Below are 16,272 nucleotides of genomic sequence, written 5' to 3' on the forward strand. Positions count from 1 at the left end.
GCCTGAGAATGGCACGTCTGAGCCTGTGATTATCCCAGCCTCAAGCCCCCAGTGGCAGTCTGTTCCCCCCATCTCTGCCCCCCCGAGAGCCTCCTGCAAATCTCCCAATATAATCTCCCAGAATCATATTTTGAATACTGTCTTGATTAAACACCAGAGCAAGGGGAGGGAGGATGCAGCCCTGCTCTCTTTGGCTGAGCCTGCTGGTGCCCACAGACAGCTGGACTGTGAACTCTGCAAAGTAAATGTTGGTAAATGCAGAAAGTTGAGGTTCTCAGGTTTGTAGGATGTATACAAGCTGGACCTCCAAACTCCTTCTATGGCTAAAGTGGCCCTTCCCTCAGCTGCACAGCAACCAGGGGCTAGGCCCTCTGGAGGTGAGGAGAAGCCACCCAGGGGAGCTCCCCCCCACCCCCAGCACACCCAGTGTCTTCCTTATCTCTTTCCTGCCAGTGTCACTAGATGGACACTGGATTCACTAGATGATCTCTGTGATCACTTCTAGTTTTAAGATTCTATGATCCTGTTAATGATAATAAGAACTTCTAGAGCCCTTACCATGTGTCAGACTCAATGCCATGTGTCTTAGTCTGTTTGGACTGCTATTTTACAGAGTACCATAAATTGAGTGTCTCATAAAAAACAGAAAGGTGTTGCTTACATTTCTGGAGGCTGAGAAGTCCACGGTGCCAGCACGTTCAGCATCTGGTGAGGGTCTGCTTCCCGGTTCATAGACAGCATCTTACTGCATCATCATGCCATAGAAGGGGCAAGAGAACCCTCTGAAGTCTTTTTTATAAGGTCACTAATCCCATTCACGAAGGCTTCAAGTTCATGACCTAATTATCTCCCAAAGTCCTCAGCTCCAGATACCATCACACTGCAGATTAGATTTCAACATATACATTTTGGGAGGACACACACATTTAGTCTCTTGCACCAGCTCTTTTAAATGTGCTGACTCATATGTCACAATAGTCCAAAGACATATTATATTACACCTAACAGTATGCCCCACTAATGAATGAGGAAATAGGCTCAGAGAGGTTAAGTAACTATATTACACCTAACAGTATGCCCCACTAACGAATGAGGAAATAGGCTCAGAGAAGTTAAGTAACTTGACGTCAGTTATCCAGCTACTAAGTAAAGAGGCAGGCTCTATGCAAGACTGATTCTTTAACCACTAAGTTCTACTACAATGTATTCTATTATTTTATGATTTCTTTATTTAATTATTAACAAGACCATCTATTTCTGAGACTCTAAATGTCTAGAGTCTATTATTTCATGCCCTGGACTCCTAGGTTGACCTCCTTCCGTCTCCGAAATGTCCAATGGGAAAAAACTTGTGGTATCTCCTGGACCCACCCCCTGCATCCTGGCCAAGAACATCTCTACCTATCCCATTGCCCACATTTCCTGGGTACACACTGTCTGAGACACCCCTGGTCAGTGTTTGGCAAAATGTAGCCCATGGATTCTACCATCAAAATCAGCTAAAGATTAAAGAATCACACTAGGATGTGGGCTGAGAGTTCTGTCTTGTTAACAAGCACCCCAGGTGGCCCGATGGGCCTCTGATCTGCATAGTGGTGGATGAACCTCGAGTGGCCAGACTCTAAGCTCAACAGGAGGGCTTAGGACACCTGCTGTTGGCCAAGAGTAAATCACATCCCAGTAACAGGTGCACACATTTCCTGCAAGATTTAATCTGGATTCCCATTCAATCTCCTCATCTAGTTCAGCTCTTTTTTCCCCATCCAGAAGCTCAAAGATGTGTACTTATTGGAGGGCGAGTAGGAGAACTAGGAGGCTAACTTGCATGTCCCAGCTGCCTGAAGATGATTTAGAAGTTCAGGTTTGGAAGCACCTGAGTAGTAGCATGTACCGTGGTGTGCAAGAGAATTCTGTCCCCAAACATGAGCATGCAGTCAAGAATCTGTACACATTGGAGAAATGTGTACAGAAGGAAAGAAAGACTATCTTAAGTGAAAGAAAGAACCGTTGAGGGCTGGGCCTTTCCACCGTGGCTGTCTCCTGGCGCAGCCACTTGCAACCTTGGTATTAGAAAATTCTTTCTTTTTTGAACCCATTTCCTTCTGCAAGTAACTTTTGAAAGTTGCCTTCTAAACTAAAAGGTCTTAATCTTCTCCATAATTCATTCTTTCTCCTCCTTTCCATGCCTCCTCTCCCCACCCTCAGTGGGACTTGTTTTGTCTTTACTCTGGGATCAGAGTAAGAAATGAGCCAGGCACAGTGGCTCACACCTATAGTCCCAGCACTTTGGGAGGCAGAGCCTGGCAGTCGCTTGAGCTCAGGAGTTTGAGACCAGCTTGGGCAACATGATGAAGCCCTGTATCTATAAAAAATACAAAAATTGGGTGTGATGGCATGCATCTGTGGTCCCAGCTACTCAGGAAGCTGAGGTAGGAGGTTTGCTTGAGCCCAGGATGTTGAAGCTGCAGTGAGCCATGATCGTGTCACTGCACTCCAGCCTGAGCAACATAGTGAGTCCCTTTCTCAAAAAAAAAAAAAAAAAAAAAAAGGAATGGAGTCTAATGGGCCTCTACTGATTATATGGCAGAGGTCCCCTCTATTGGCATAATTTTCTTCATTAAATGTTAAGTTGGGGCAGGGGGAAAAGGAGGACCAATGGCCTGAGTCCTTGGGCAAGTCACCAAATGTCTCTGAGACTCAGCATTCTCCTGGTAGGTTGCAATGTGCCTCTTTTATAAATTCTATGGTTTTCTCACCTGGCTGCTGTGGGGATGTGTTAGCCCATTCTTGCAGCACTATAAAGAAATACCTGAGACTGGGTAATTTATAAAGAAAAGATGTTTAAACGGCTCATGGTTCTGCAGGCTTTATAGGAAGCATGGTGCTGGCATCTATCTACTCAGCTTCTAGGGAGGCCTCAGGAAGCTTACAATCATGTTGGAAGGCAAAGGGGCAGCAGGCACGTCACATGGCAAAAGCAGGAGCAAGAGAGAATGAATGAAGGAGAAGGTGCCCACACACTCATGTGAACTCAGAGCAAGAGCCCACTCCTCACCAAGGAGATGGCCCAAGCTGTTCATGAGAGATTTGTCCCCATGATCCAATCACCTCCCACCAGGCCCCACCTCAAAATTGGGGATTACATGTCAACAAGAGACTTGGGTGCAGACAAATATCCAAAAATCCAAATTTTGGTTGATAGCAAGAGTTGGAGAGTTGTTAAAGACAAGTTAGCACCAAACAGAGACTTCTTTTTTGTAATCAGAGGATTGGAGGAGACTTGAAAAGGGAATAATTTAGGTTATTCTGAGATTCAGCATTATTTAATGTCAAGACCAGCTCACATTGTCAGTGGCAAATTGTTAGTAGACCAACTAAACCCCATCTTTAGGCATGGGCCCAGCAGTATTTTTTAAAGCTCCCAAGTGATTCTGATGTGCACCTAAGGTTGAGAACCAGTGAACTACAACCAGGCTGTTTCTCTTTCCAGGCTCAGCATTTTCAAGAAGCTGTGGATGGGCAGAGGGGTGGAGAGGAAATTGGAAGACTGAAAGTCTAAAAGCCTGTGGCTTCTCCCTTAGCCCTATGCATTCCATGTTCCCCCCATGGTAAAATGGGGTCTAATATTCACAATTTACAACATGGCTTGTGAGGAGCTCAAAACTGAACGTAACCCTGGACATTCAAGGCCTGTGTTTAGCCAGGAGAGGCATTTTTCAGCTCTGTCACCTATCTCAGGTGATGGGAGGAGACTCCCCCACACAGGAGATCCTCAGCACATAAGCCAACAAATTCAGCCCTGGGGCTATTCAGAGGTGGCTTTGAGCAGAGGTAGAGGTGTTCTGGAAGTATTTCTTGAAGTTCCAGTTATTTATTGCAATGGAAAATCACCCCTAAGCATAATGGCTGAAAGAACCTACAATAATCATTGGCATTTCTAAAGAATCTGTAATTTGGGTAGGGCTCAGTAGGAGGGATTTGTTTCTGCTCCATGTGCTATTAGAAGAGGTGGCTCTATTGGAGCTAGAGGATCCATTTCCAAGGAGGATCCTGGTTTCACCCCCTACAAGGCTTTCCTTGGATTACTTGAGTTTTCTCATGTGATGGCAGGCTGTGTTTCAACAGCAAGTATCCCCAAAGGTCGAGATGAAAGTTGCAAGGCTTCTTCTGACGCATCCTCAGAAGTCCCAGAACACCACTTCTATGGTATTCTTTTGGTCAAACAAGTCACTAGAGCCTATCCAGATTCAAGACGAGGGGAATTTGACTCTATTGCTCCACGGCGGGAGTAGCAAAGAATTTATAGCCATCTTTACCAGATTTGGATTACTGGTGAAAGTCAAGTTTTGAATGCACTTCCAGACTTTACTCTCCCATTCAACATGGGATCACAATACAATGTCTCAACTCAGGCTGTCATAATAAAGCACCACAGGCTGGGTGGCTTAAACAACAAACATTTATTTTCTCACAGTTCTGGAGCCTGGGAAGTCCCAGATCAAGGTACTAGCTGATTCAGTTCCTGGTAAGGGCTTTCTTCCTGGCTTGTGGACAGCCACTTTGTGGACTGTGGACAGCTTGTGACAGCTACGTGCTCACATGGAGGAGACACAGAGCCCTGGTGTCTCTGGCTCTTCTTCTAAGGGAGCTGGCTCTATTAGATCACAGCCCTACCTTGATTACTTCATTTAACCGTTGTCATCTCTTAATAGGCTCTTTCTCCAAATACAGTCACATTAGGGGTTAGGGCTTCAACATACGAATTTTAGGCAGACACAAATATCCAGTCCATATTAGACTGATCTAGAACCCAAATGGAAGAGGCCAGTTAGGAAGCAGGTGACAGGGAAGAGGGCACTGTCTTTCTGGCCAGTGGTCTAAGCTGGCCCCTCGCCATGGAGGTTGTGGTTGAGGCAGCATCCTTCTGTCCATCCACTTTCCCCCTTCAGTGTCCTGGCCTGGCAAGTGCAGGATCTGTACCTTCAGTGTGGAAGAAGAGGGCAGTGATATGTGTTCAAGCACTGTTAATTGCCCGACACTTCACATAATTTCATAAAAACTCTCCTCTCTACAAATGTAGAAAAATGTAGAAACTGAGTCTTTTTTTTTTTTTTTTTTGAGACAGAGTCTCGCTCTGTCACCAGGCTGGAATGCAGTGGCATGATTTCGGCTCACTGTGATCTCTGCCTCCCGGGTTCAAGCAATTCTCCTGCCTCAGCCTCCCAAGTAGCTGGGACTACAGGCACACACCACCACGTCCAGCTAATTTTTGTATTTTTAGTAGAGACGAGGTTTCATCATGTTGGCCAGGATGGTCTGGATATCTTGACCTTGTGATCCACCCGCCTCAGCCTCCCAAAGTGCTGGGATTACAGGCGTGAGCCACTGCGCCCAGCTGAAACTGAGTTTTAAGTAAGCGAGGTCACTTGTCAAAGGTCCAACAACTGGGAAGTGGCAGAGTTGGGGTTCAAATACGGATCTGTGTAAGCCCAAAGCCCATGTGAAGGCAGAAGAAGCACACCCACTCCAAGATGCTGTATAGCAAAGTAGTAAACACACAGTCCCTGAATCCAAACCACCTGGGTTCGAATCCCAGCTCTGCCATTTACTAGCTGTGCATCCTCAGGCAAGTGGCATATCCTCTCTAGACCTCAGTTTTCTCATCTCTAAAATGGGAATAATCATAGTACCTACCTCACAGCACTGCTGTGAAGATTAAACAGTTCATATCTAAAGCACGAGAACTATGTCTGGCCGACAGTAAGGATTACATAAAATGTCAGCTGTAACTGCCTTCCTACTCCTATACTCCAGCCAGTCTTGCCACAGGCCTGCCTCTCCAGCAAGGCCTGAAGTCACTACTGGGTCCCCACCACTCATGCCAAGTTGAGGTCACAGCTCACACGTGTCCCTCTTACCTAGAGCAAAGACATGGGGTCGTTCACTCCAGTGTCCATTTAGGGAACTACCTCACCAAGCAAATTTTATGAATTGTTCACACTTCCCCTTATCAAGATTAATGGCACAATTGCCCACCGTCAGTCCTTCTGTGGTCACAGCTAATGACTTCAACCCTCAACACGTTTCCTCTGCATTTGCTTCAGAAAATCATTCTGAACAGCAAGACTGCTTTAATAGCCACTTGGTACTAATGATGCCTTTTAAGTGCATAAAGAGAATCTCTAAGTACCAAACGGAAGGCCCATCCACTGGTGACAACAGCTATTGACATTGGCAAGCAACACAAGGTCAGAATAGCTGCGGTACATGGGGACGCTTACTCGGTCTAACAGTAGGGAATTGTTTTAATATGCTAGAAACTCCTCATTATTCTCTGTTGCTCCTTAAACATACCCAATAGCACTGTTTCCTGAGGCCTGCTATGTGCAATTTCAGAGCTTACCAGCCTCTGGTAGTTTTCACTTCACCTTCAAGATTTAGGCCAATCCAAACTTGTATTATTTTTACCTCATATTTTTCTTTAAATAGATCCCCCTTTACATTTTTTAAATAAATGTTCATGAACACCCACTATTTACATCTGTCCTTTTCTTACTGCTTAGCCACCATGACACACTCAAATGGTCAGGAGCTTGGTAGTGTGATTAGGGATGTGGATAAAGTCAGACCAAGCTGGGACCATGTTCTGGCTTCACCACTTAGTACTTGGGTGGCAGTGAGCAAGTTCCCTAATCTCTCTGAGCCTCAGTGTCTTCCTATATAAGATACGATAAAACTAGAACTTAGCTCATGGGGTGGTGGTGAAGATGAAATCAGCTGGTCAATGTTAAGTGTTCATCTCAGGGACTGACACACATACTCAATAAATGTTGGTTAGGAGTGTATTAACTTCCTCAACTGAGGTGGGGCTCCTTGGAGAAGTGAAAAACAGCCTCAGCTTGCCATCTACTTTCTTGCTAAGGTCATGACATAGACTATAGTCCCAAGTATCTCCTGTGTCACCTCACTGTGAGGTCCCAATTTTGTCAGCAAAGGGCTACTCCCCAGATGCTGGAATCTGGGCATGCGGTGTCACTTTCTGACCAAACCATTGTTTTGCTAAGACAATTTTCTCTTTCTTGAGAAATGTCCTCCTCCCTCACCAAGAATCTGTTCCTTTTCATTATCATCTATTATCTCAATATCAAACTCTCATTGCCCATGGATCCAGATCTATTACATGGCGTCCACCATCTTGCCTAGTCCTTGATCATTCATCTAATTAGTTCCCAGAGAGATTCCAACCTTCCATTTCTGAAACACATCGATTCTTGGTCTCACTTGATGCTCAACTTTGTGTTGATGGTAGTTTGTGTTTGGGTCCCATCTGTGAGGTTAGGGCAGAGCAAAGGTGGGGCTTCCCTCTGGAAGAGGGTTCCTGAGTGCTGGTTAGAGCCAGGAAGAGCATTGCTGAATGGTGATCTGTAAACTTTCAAGGAGAAGAGGACAGGGGAAAGAACAAGTGGGAGAGAAGCAGAAGTGGGACCTGGATTGGGGTGAGGAAGTGAAATGAGGACATGAGGATGGATGGGCATTGAGGGAATCAGCTCAGAGCCAACAAAGGGTAAGTTTAAGGAGCAAGTTATAGAGTAAGCAAGGCTGAAAAGTTCAACTTTTAGTTGCTAATGCTGGGAATTCATTAGACTTTTCTTAATGTACAGCATTTAAGTATTGAACACATGAGGCAGAAGGAGTAGGGCACCATTACATATTTTACAAAACTGAATGCTCAAACATACATTCAAACCGAAGCCCACATACTTCTAATTTGGGGTGTCTAATTTGACTAGGGGCAAAGGAGAAGCAGCCCCCTGGGAATGGGTGTAGAAGTTTCATTTGCAGTTCCCCACACATTCTCTTCATTGAATTCTTAGCTACTGTTCAGCCCCATCATGTAACTGTGACATTTGACATATGACACCCATGAGATTCACTTGACCCTTTTGTGAGGTGCCATTAAATGGCCCAAAGTTAAAATGTTAATTATCATTAATCATTTTTTATGAAATGGCTTTGCCAATCCATAAATTCAGCAGAGAGAGGCTTCTTTCATGGATCTGATGGTTTATGGAATACTGACTGTCAGAGAAGCCACCTGCATTTGGGGATGTTTCTAGAGGTGTAAGTTACAAAGAAAAAAATAAATGCCTGCAAGTGTATGTTAACAAGACAGAGCAACTGGGACAAAAAATAAAAAGAAAAGAAATAGAAAAAGGGTAAGTTAGGAGTGAGGTTGAGTCTGTTTTCCTGCAGCAAGCTCAGTGACTGATGCAAAGTGGTTACCCAAGAAACGTATGTTGAAAAAGTGAATGGATGCGGGAGAGGAGGCGAGGTCAGAAAAGGAAAAGAGGAAAAGGACCTTCAAGGGAAGAGGAGTTTTACAGAAAATTGGAGAATAACTGAAAGGATGTGAATAAGAAAGGGCCCAAATTTCTGCCTTGAGTTCAAGATCCTGGGAACCTCAATATTTATGTATTTGTTTATTTTTGGCTAGATATACTAAAACACAATTATCTGTCTCGTTCTTGTTCAAGAAAAAATCTTTTTTAAAAAAATCAATAAGGGAGCTGGAATTATTTTTTTAAAACGCAAGCAGGGATATTTTAGGGTAAACTCAGAAGATGGACCTCCTTTTAATCAACAATAAAAATAATCCTTCCATAGGTGCAAAGATGCATAGGAGAGTGGATTTCAAAGTCTTTTGCCAAAATGAAAACAGTGGTTATCTCTGGAAGGTAAGAGTATGGGTATTTTAATTGTTCTGGTTCATACATTTCTAACCTTCCAAATTTTCTGCAAGATTTAGCTTTATAATAAAAATACATAATAAATCTGCATGTGTGTGTGTGTGTGTGTGTGTGTGTGTGTGTACAAATATGAATAATGGGGGATGAATAAAAAGGATTTCTGCACCCACTGGGGCTGTCCTGTTGGGTGGGTGATAGGAGATGGCCGATTATTTTGGGTCCAGCACTTTTGGCTCAGGAAGGCACCAGATAGAAGGAACATAAGATGCCCTTCATGCTGACTGCCAGGTTCCGTAACTGAGGTCCTTGCTGGGTGAACAGACGCTGGAGTGCCCTAAAGATATGCTAGAATAATCCCTGAGTGAGGACACTTGAAAACAAGCACTCTTTCCCTGACATTCAGAGAAATCTCAGAGAAATCTTCAGTGTCCCCTAAAATGGTTTGCAGAACCTTCCATATGTGTGCAGTATTCTCGAGAGAGTATATCCTTAGTTTTCGTCAAATTCTTAAAGAGGGCATCAGTGATCCCCTAAAAGGTCCTATTCTTTAAACCAGAAATATCTATTACTATAAAATTTTTTTTCAAAGGGGCACCCCAAACATGGGTGTGTGTTTATTTATAAATTAAAGGCATATACTATAACATAATATATATACAATATAAATACATACAAAATATTCATTTTTAAAAAAAGATAGAAAATAAGAAGTTCTAATATTTTTGTCTCATATTCCAAAGGATCATATCCAAGTCCCCTGGAAAGCACTGGTCTCTTTTTGGGGAAAGTTGCCTCTAGAATCAATGAGGTAGCCGGGAGTGGTGGCTCACACCTGTAATCACTTTGGAACACTTTGGAACTCTGTGGAAAGCCAAGGTGGGAGGATCGCTTGAGGCCGGGAGTTCAAGACCAGCCTGGTCAACATAGAACCTGTCACCATTTTTGTAATAAAAAAACTAATTAGTCAATTAATTAGTAGTGGAACCAATAAGCAGCTTCTTATCACCCCACTCCCCAGCTAAAGTAATCCTTTCTGTAAGTTGCCAAGTTCCATGAGCAAGACATAAAAACATATGGGCCAAACTCAACATTTATAAAATACTGCAAGTCTACGAAACACTTCACAGAATCGTGAAGACATAGATATACTTCCTCCAGCCTAGCGTTTCTAGAACCTGCGGCTTGGTGGCTAAAGTACTCAGATCCCTAACGATGCACCACAGCTTCAGCTTTGAATTCAAACAGCAGTGATTTCACTCTTAGGGTTCAACACAATCAAACAGATGGGGGTCACAGCATGAACGATCATCTGGAGTCCATTTCCCTTAACTTCACCCTGAAATGACCCTGGCCCTCACCTTTCTGACATATGCCAGGTCTCTGTTAATTTCAGACCATCAGAGGAGGCACTAACAATTTAGCACCATCCTTCCATTCATCACTACTAAATGGACACACACAGAGAAAATGCCGGATCAGGCGGATTTGAACCCACCTCTGCTTCGGGACCCCTCTGTACTTAGTGGTTTGGGGTTTCATTTCCCCTGGGAGGTACTCACACCCCTTCAAGGGCAAGAAAAAGAAAATCCACCTGACCTTCCTCTATTTGTATTTCTGTATAGCTTTTCTTCCCCCATATCTTTCATATAAAAGCCCCACACAGACTTTACAAGAAAGGAAAATTATAGGAAAATCTTCCTTGTAAACACTGATGCAAAAGCCCTACATCAATATTAGGAAATTGAATTCAGTGATATACATGAACCAGAGAGAGAGAGGGAAGGAGGGGAGAGAATCATGTAGAATATTAATAACAGTATTATTCTTTTTGATATATACATATACATATATAAAAGCATTTTTTAAAACTTTAAAAAATTATTTACTTTTAATTGACAAATAATAATTTGATATATTTATGGGGTACAACATACAACCCCATAAACACACTATTTGTTTTGGTGAGTGTCTGATATATGTTTAAATCATCTCATATAAGGAAGATCTTTTTAATAGACAAAGCTCTTTCAAATTCAAGGTCTTAGTTGGTTTTCTCCCCAGCCTTGGGATGTAGGAATTGGTGTATGTGGTGAAAGCTGGGGTGCATTGTCCAGATGCCCTCCTCAGGACTAAGGCACCCCTCTCCACAGTTGCTGGGAGTGTTGACTGCAGATAGCTCTCTCAGGGTCAAGTCCCTCCCCAGGGAAGCCTGCATCCAAAACCTGGTCTATTTGGGAGCAATTACAAAGGCTTGCCTGCCTTGCCCCAATTAGAGACAACTCTACAAGTCCATCCCAGCTCCCTGTGGAATCAGCTGAGGTCTTTGTTCCAACTGTGCCCCAAATTCAACTTTTCCCTCTGCAAAGTTCTGCTTCCTTCACCCCTCACAGGTCAGGAGCGCTCACCTGACACACCTCGGAGTCTCAGAGTCTGCTTCCCGGGGAACCTGTCCTAAACAGTTTGCCTTTTTTACAGGTGAGGAAGCTGAGGCCCATGGAAGTAAAGCGATTTGCTCAAGCTTCCATAGGTGGTGGAATCAGGAGTTAGGATTGCTATTCAGACCTTTTGACTCTATTCTCATGCTCTTCTACAAGAAGGGAGGGTGCATTTCTCTGAGTGGTGCATAGCAGGACCCCACCCAGAGCTTCAGATACCCAGAATAGGCATCCACTGTCACTCACATAGAATTTTGAGCACTTTGCTGTCTTAAGATAGGGTTTGGGCTCAGGGCTCACTCGATCTTTCTTTGTAAATTTTTATTTAATTGCATGTGATACATGAATGCATTCTCCTTATTAAAAAAGTAAAAACACCTCAATCAACACTTAAATTCCAGTGTTCGTTTGGGCAAAGCTAGTTCCTAGCACAGAGACAACACAGTCTCAGTGATTTAACAGCATAGAAGTCTATTTCTTGATCATATGAAGCCCATTCCAGTGTTTCTGGTCCATAGGCAGCTTCTCTCTCCAGGAATCTTCCATCTGTTCTGTGACTTCACCATTTTCAGCACATAACTTCCAAAGTCACCCAGGAAGGAAAAGGCCCAGAGGGTTGCATGTGCAAGGTTATTATGAGCCAGGCCTGCAACTGGCTCACATGACCACAACTTACCTGCAAGAGAAGCTGGGAAATGCTGCCTAGCTTGGTTACCAGAAAGAAGAGGAAGCACATGTGGGGACCAGCCAGCCAGCCTCTACCAAAATCCTTCTTTGACCCCTTTTCCCCTCAAAAAGAATTCTGGTCTCTTCTTCCACAGAGGTAAGCACTTTTATCAGTTTGGTGTGTTGCTTTCTAACTCCTTTCTTTGCATTACAAAAATATATATAAATCGGCCTGGCATGGTGGCTCATGCCTGTCATCCCAGCACTTTGGGAGGCTGAGGTGGGTGGATCACTTGAGGTCAGGAGTTCAAAACCACCCTGTCCAACACGGCAAAACCCCGTCTCTACCAAAAATACAAAAATTAGCCAGGAGTGGTGGCAGATGCCTGTAGTCCCAGTTACTCAGGAGGCTGGGCAGGAGAATCCCTTGAACCCTGGAGGCAGAAGTTACAGTGAGCCAAGATCGTGCCACTGCACTCCAGCCTGGGCAACAGAGTGAGACTCCATCTCAAAAAAAAAAAAAATATATATATATATATATATCCATACAAATATGTAGAGATAGCATTATTCTTTGTGTATTTCTTTCATAAATGATGTCAACCTCCTGGGATAATTAAATCTGTTGGTAAACAGAAATGTAACTCATCCCTCTCCAGTGCCGTTTGTGATCCAAAGCATGAGTTTCTCATGGTATATTTAGACCCCTCTGTATTGATGTGTATATATTATTCATGTATTTTTAGAGTTGTTTATTTATTATATTATATACATTTATATATTTATATACTTGTTTTCAATGTATACTCATTACAATTTTTCCCTTCAAATTTAATTTTTATAAGCACTGCAAAATTGAACATCTTAGTATATGCCTTCTTGGGCATACAGGCAAATGTGTTTACTTAGGGTAGATTTGAAAAGTAGGGACATAGGAATGCACTTTCAAACATTTAATAAGTTACAGTGCTCCTAAAGTGTCCCGATCTAGCTACATTCTCTCCAGCAATATATGAGACTACATATTTTCCCCTGTCTGCTGGTACTTGATATTCGCTGGTGTTAGATGGGCCAGAAAATGAGTATGCAGGGGTGTCTCAATTTTGTTTTGGTTCCAGTTTCCTCATTCCTAGTGACATTGAATATGTTTTCCTCTTTCATGAATTACCTGTCCCTATGTCCTTTGCCCATTATTTTTAAACTGGGTACTTGTTTCTCTCATTAATTGGTAGAATCTTTTTTGTAGTCTTAATAGGAATCCTCTGCTCTATGTTCTAAATATTTTCTCCCATGCTGTAAGTTGTCTTTTTTTTTTTTTTTTTTTTTTTTTGAGATAGGGTCTCTCTCTGTCATGTGATCCTGGCTCACTGCAACCTCTGCCTCCTGGGCTCAAGCTATCCTCCCGCCTCAGCCTCCCAAGTAGCTGGGACTACAGGCATATGCCACCACGTCCAACCAATTTTTGTGTTTTTTGTAGAGATGGGGTCTCACCACATTTCCCAGGCTGGTCTCAAACTCCTGGGCTCAAGAGATCCACCTGCCTTGGCCTCCCAAAGTGTTGGGATTAAAGGCGTGAGCCACCACACCTGGCCAGGTTGTCTCTTAACTGTTTTTTATAATGTTACATTCCTCAGAGAGTGGGTAAGACTGGCCAGATGCTCTAAAACATGGATTTAAGTATAAGCATCTGTTCTTTGTACATACAGTTATTCATCACCTCCTGGAAGCTCCACACTGTGCCAGGCACCATGGGCAAAAGAAGAATGAACCAGATGTGGAGCTTGTCCTCAAAGAGCTTGGAATCTGGTGAGAAAGAGGAGCGGAGAGTTGTAAACAGAGATGATCCACAGTAGAATGTAAAGGAGTGAGGAGAAGGAGAGCCATCCATATAGTTACTGAATGGAAAAAAATGTCCCTGAGGGCTCATAGTGTGAAAATGGATAACTAACCATGGATAACCTATATTCATGCTGGAATCGGTTTATGGGTTTACGCAGTGACGTCACATCATAACGAGACCTTGGGGACATAAAGATGACATTTAAGCCAACTTATGCTCAAAAATCCCCTATGAAGCCAGCTGCCACCTTGGAAGTGATGTGTTCTAATACATTCCAATAATGCCAAAAATATTTTTAATAAAGAAACGGATTGCCATTTCTTTGGTTGAGTACTGGATGATGTGGTTGGTTGGGGGCCGATAGTAAGAGAAATAGGTATTTTTAAACTCAACAGTCCTACTCAGACAGATTGATGAAACCACAAGAGACACAGATAACTCAGGGCAACTGAAAGAAGGGCAGATCCATATCTGCCTGTATCATTTACCCCAGGGAACACTCACACGGAGTGGAACAGTTGACGGAATCACATCATCTATGGGTGATGTTCTCGCAAGCTAAAAACTCATATTGGTGCATTTGCATAAATTAAATATGTATGACTCTACCTGAATTACAGCTCTGCAAACATATTCTATCCTCATACTCTGCGCCAACTCAAGTAGGCCATAAACTCCTCAGTGTGGGATCCATAGCAGGTTTGTCCCGGGATCCCCCACTGAATCCAGCGCTGTGCTTGTGCAGGGGGCTGATACAAGACATTGATTAATGGACTGAGTGCGTGGCCAGTGACCCATGGGTCAGCTTCTGTTCTGAACTCTAGGGCAGGAGTGGGAGACGTGCTGAGCACTGGATGTTGGCACAAGTCCACACCTCTTTCCGACTGCTGGAGAAAGGCTTCATGAAAGGGGGCAATGCAGAAAAAGTAACTGTTGTGAGTCAGGAGAATTGGATTCTAATCCCTGATCTGTCACCTCTAACCCCTAGGAGAATCTGGCCAAGTGCTTTCCTCTTCAAGCCTTCATACATGGAAGGGTGTATTAGCTTCCTGGGGCTGCTGTAACAAATTATCACAAACTTGGTGTCTTAGATTTACTGTCTCACCATCATGGTGGCCAGAAGTCCAAAATCAAGGTGCTGGCAGGGGCACACTCCTGCAGGACAATCTTCCTCGCCTCCTCCAGCTTCCTTGGCTTGTGGTAGCATCATTCCAGTCACTGCTTCTGTCTTCAGTAGTCTTCTCCTCCTTCTTCTCTTCTGTCTCTTATAAAAATATCAGTCATTGGATTTATGACCCAACCTAAATCAGGATTATTTCATCTTGAGATCCTTAACCTAACCACATCTGCAAAGACCTCATTTCCAAATAATGTCACATACACATGTACTGGGGATTAGGATTTGGGCATGTTTCAGGGAGACAAAATTCACCCCACTATAATATATATATATATATATATAAAATTATATATATATATAAAATTATATATATATGTTACATATAAAATATATATTACATATATATTTGTAATATGCATATATATTATGTATAGGGGGTTGAATTTTATCTCCCTGAAACATGCCCAAATCCTAATATATTATACACACACACACACACCATGGAACACTACTCAGTCATAAAAAGGAACAAAATAATGGCATTCCAGCAACCTGGAAGGAATTGGAGACCATTATTCTAAGTGAAGTAACTGAGGAATGGAAAATCAAACATCATATGTTCTCATTCATTAGTGGGAGCTAAGCTATGTGGATGCAAAGGCATTAGAATGATAAATGGACTTTGGGAACTTGGGGAAAGGGTGGGAGGGGTGAGGAATAAAAGACTATACATTCGGTACAGTATACATTGCTCAGGTGACAGGTGCACCAAAATCTCAGAAATCACCACTAAATAATTTATTCATGTAAAAAAAAGCTTAAAAATAATAATAAAATAAATAAAATTCAACCCTCTACAGTGGGGATGGATGAAATGGTCTGTAAACTTCCTTCCAGGCCCAACACCCTTTTAACTATGACCTTGGTTTCTAAGGAAGGCATTCTGTGAGGAAGCAGAAAGAGAAAGAAGGGTGATCCCAAAGAGATGGTGGGTCAGTTTAATTAAGTATGTATCAACCAGTTCCATAGGGAGGACTGGAAGCCGGCTCCTCGTCTTCATGTGCACTTTACACAAAGAACACAAGTGTGAAAAACACAAGTAAAACAAAAGTCACCTCTCCCAAGACCCAGTGGAAAGGAAAGGGAGGTCCCTGAGCAAAGAGGAACTATAAGGAGTTATAGCTCTGCACCACTCGAGTCAAGGGTCAGTCTGAATAGCTGTGGGGGTAGGGTGGGGGGTGGGGTGTTGTTCCAACAACTGGAGAATTTCCTAAAGAAAATAAATTATTGTTCAGCTGGTCATGGGAGAAGCTGTGACCTATTTACCTTCTGTTGTCTCAAGCTGCTGTGGGTAGAGGCTTTCAGTCCTTATTATTTATGGGGTCATGCAGGTATCATTGAGCTGCTTATTAGAAAGCTGCCAACACCAGACTGGGCTGCCTCCAATATTTTAAAACTATATTT

The sequence above is a fragment of the Homo sapiens genome, chromosome 16, assembly GCF_000001405.40.
Source record: "Homo sapiens chromosome 16, GRCh38.p14 Primary Assembly".
In the NCBI taxonomy this organism is placed as follows: Eukaryota; Metazoa; Chordata; class Mammalia; order Primates; family Hominidae; genus Homo; species Homo sapiens.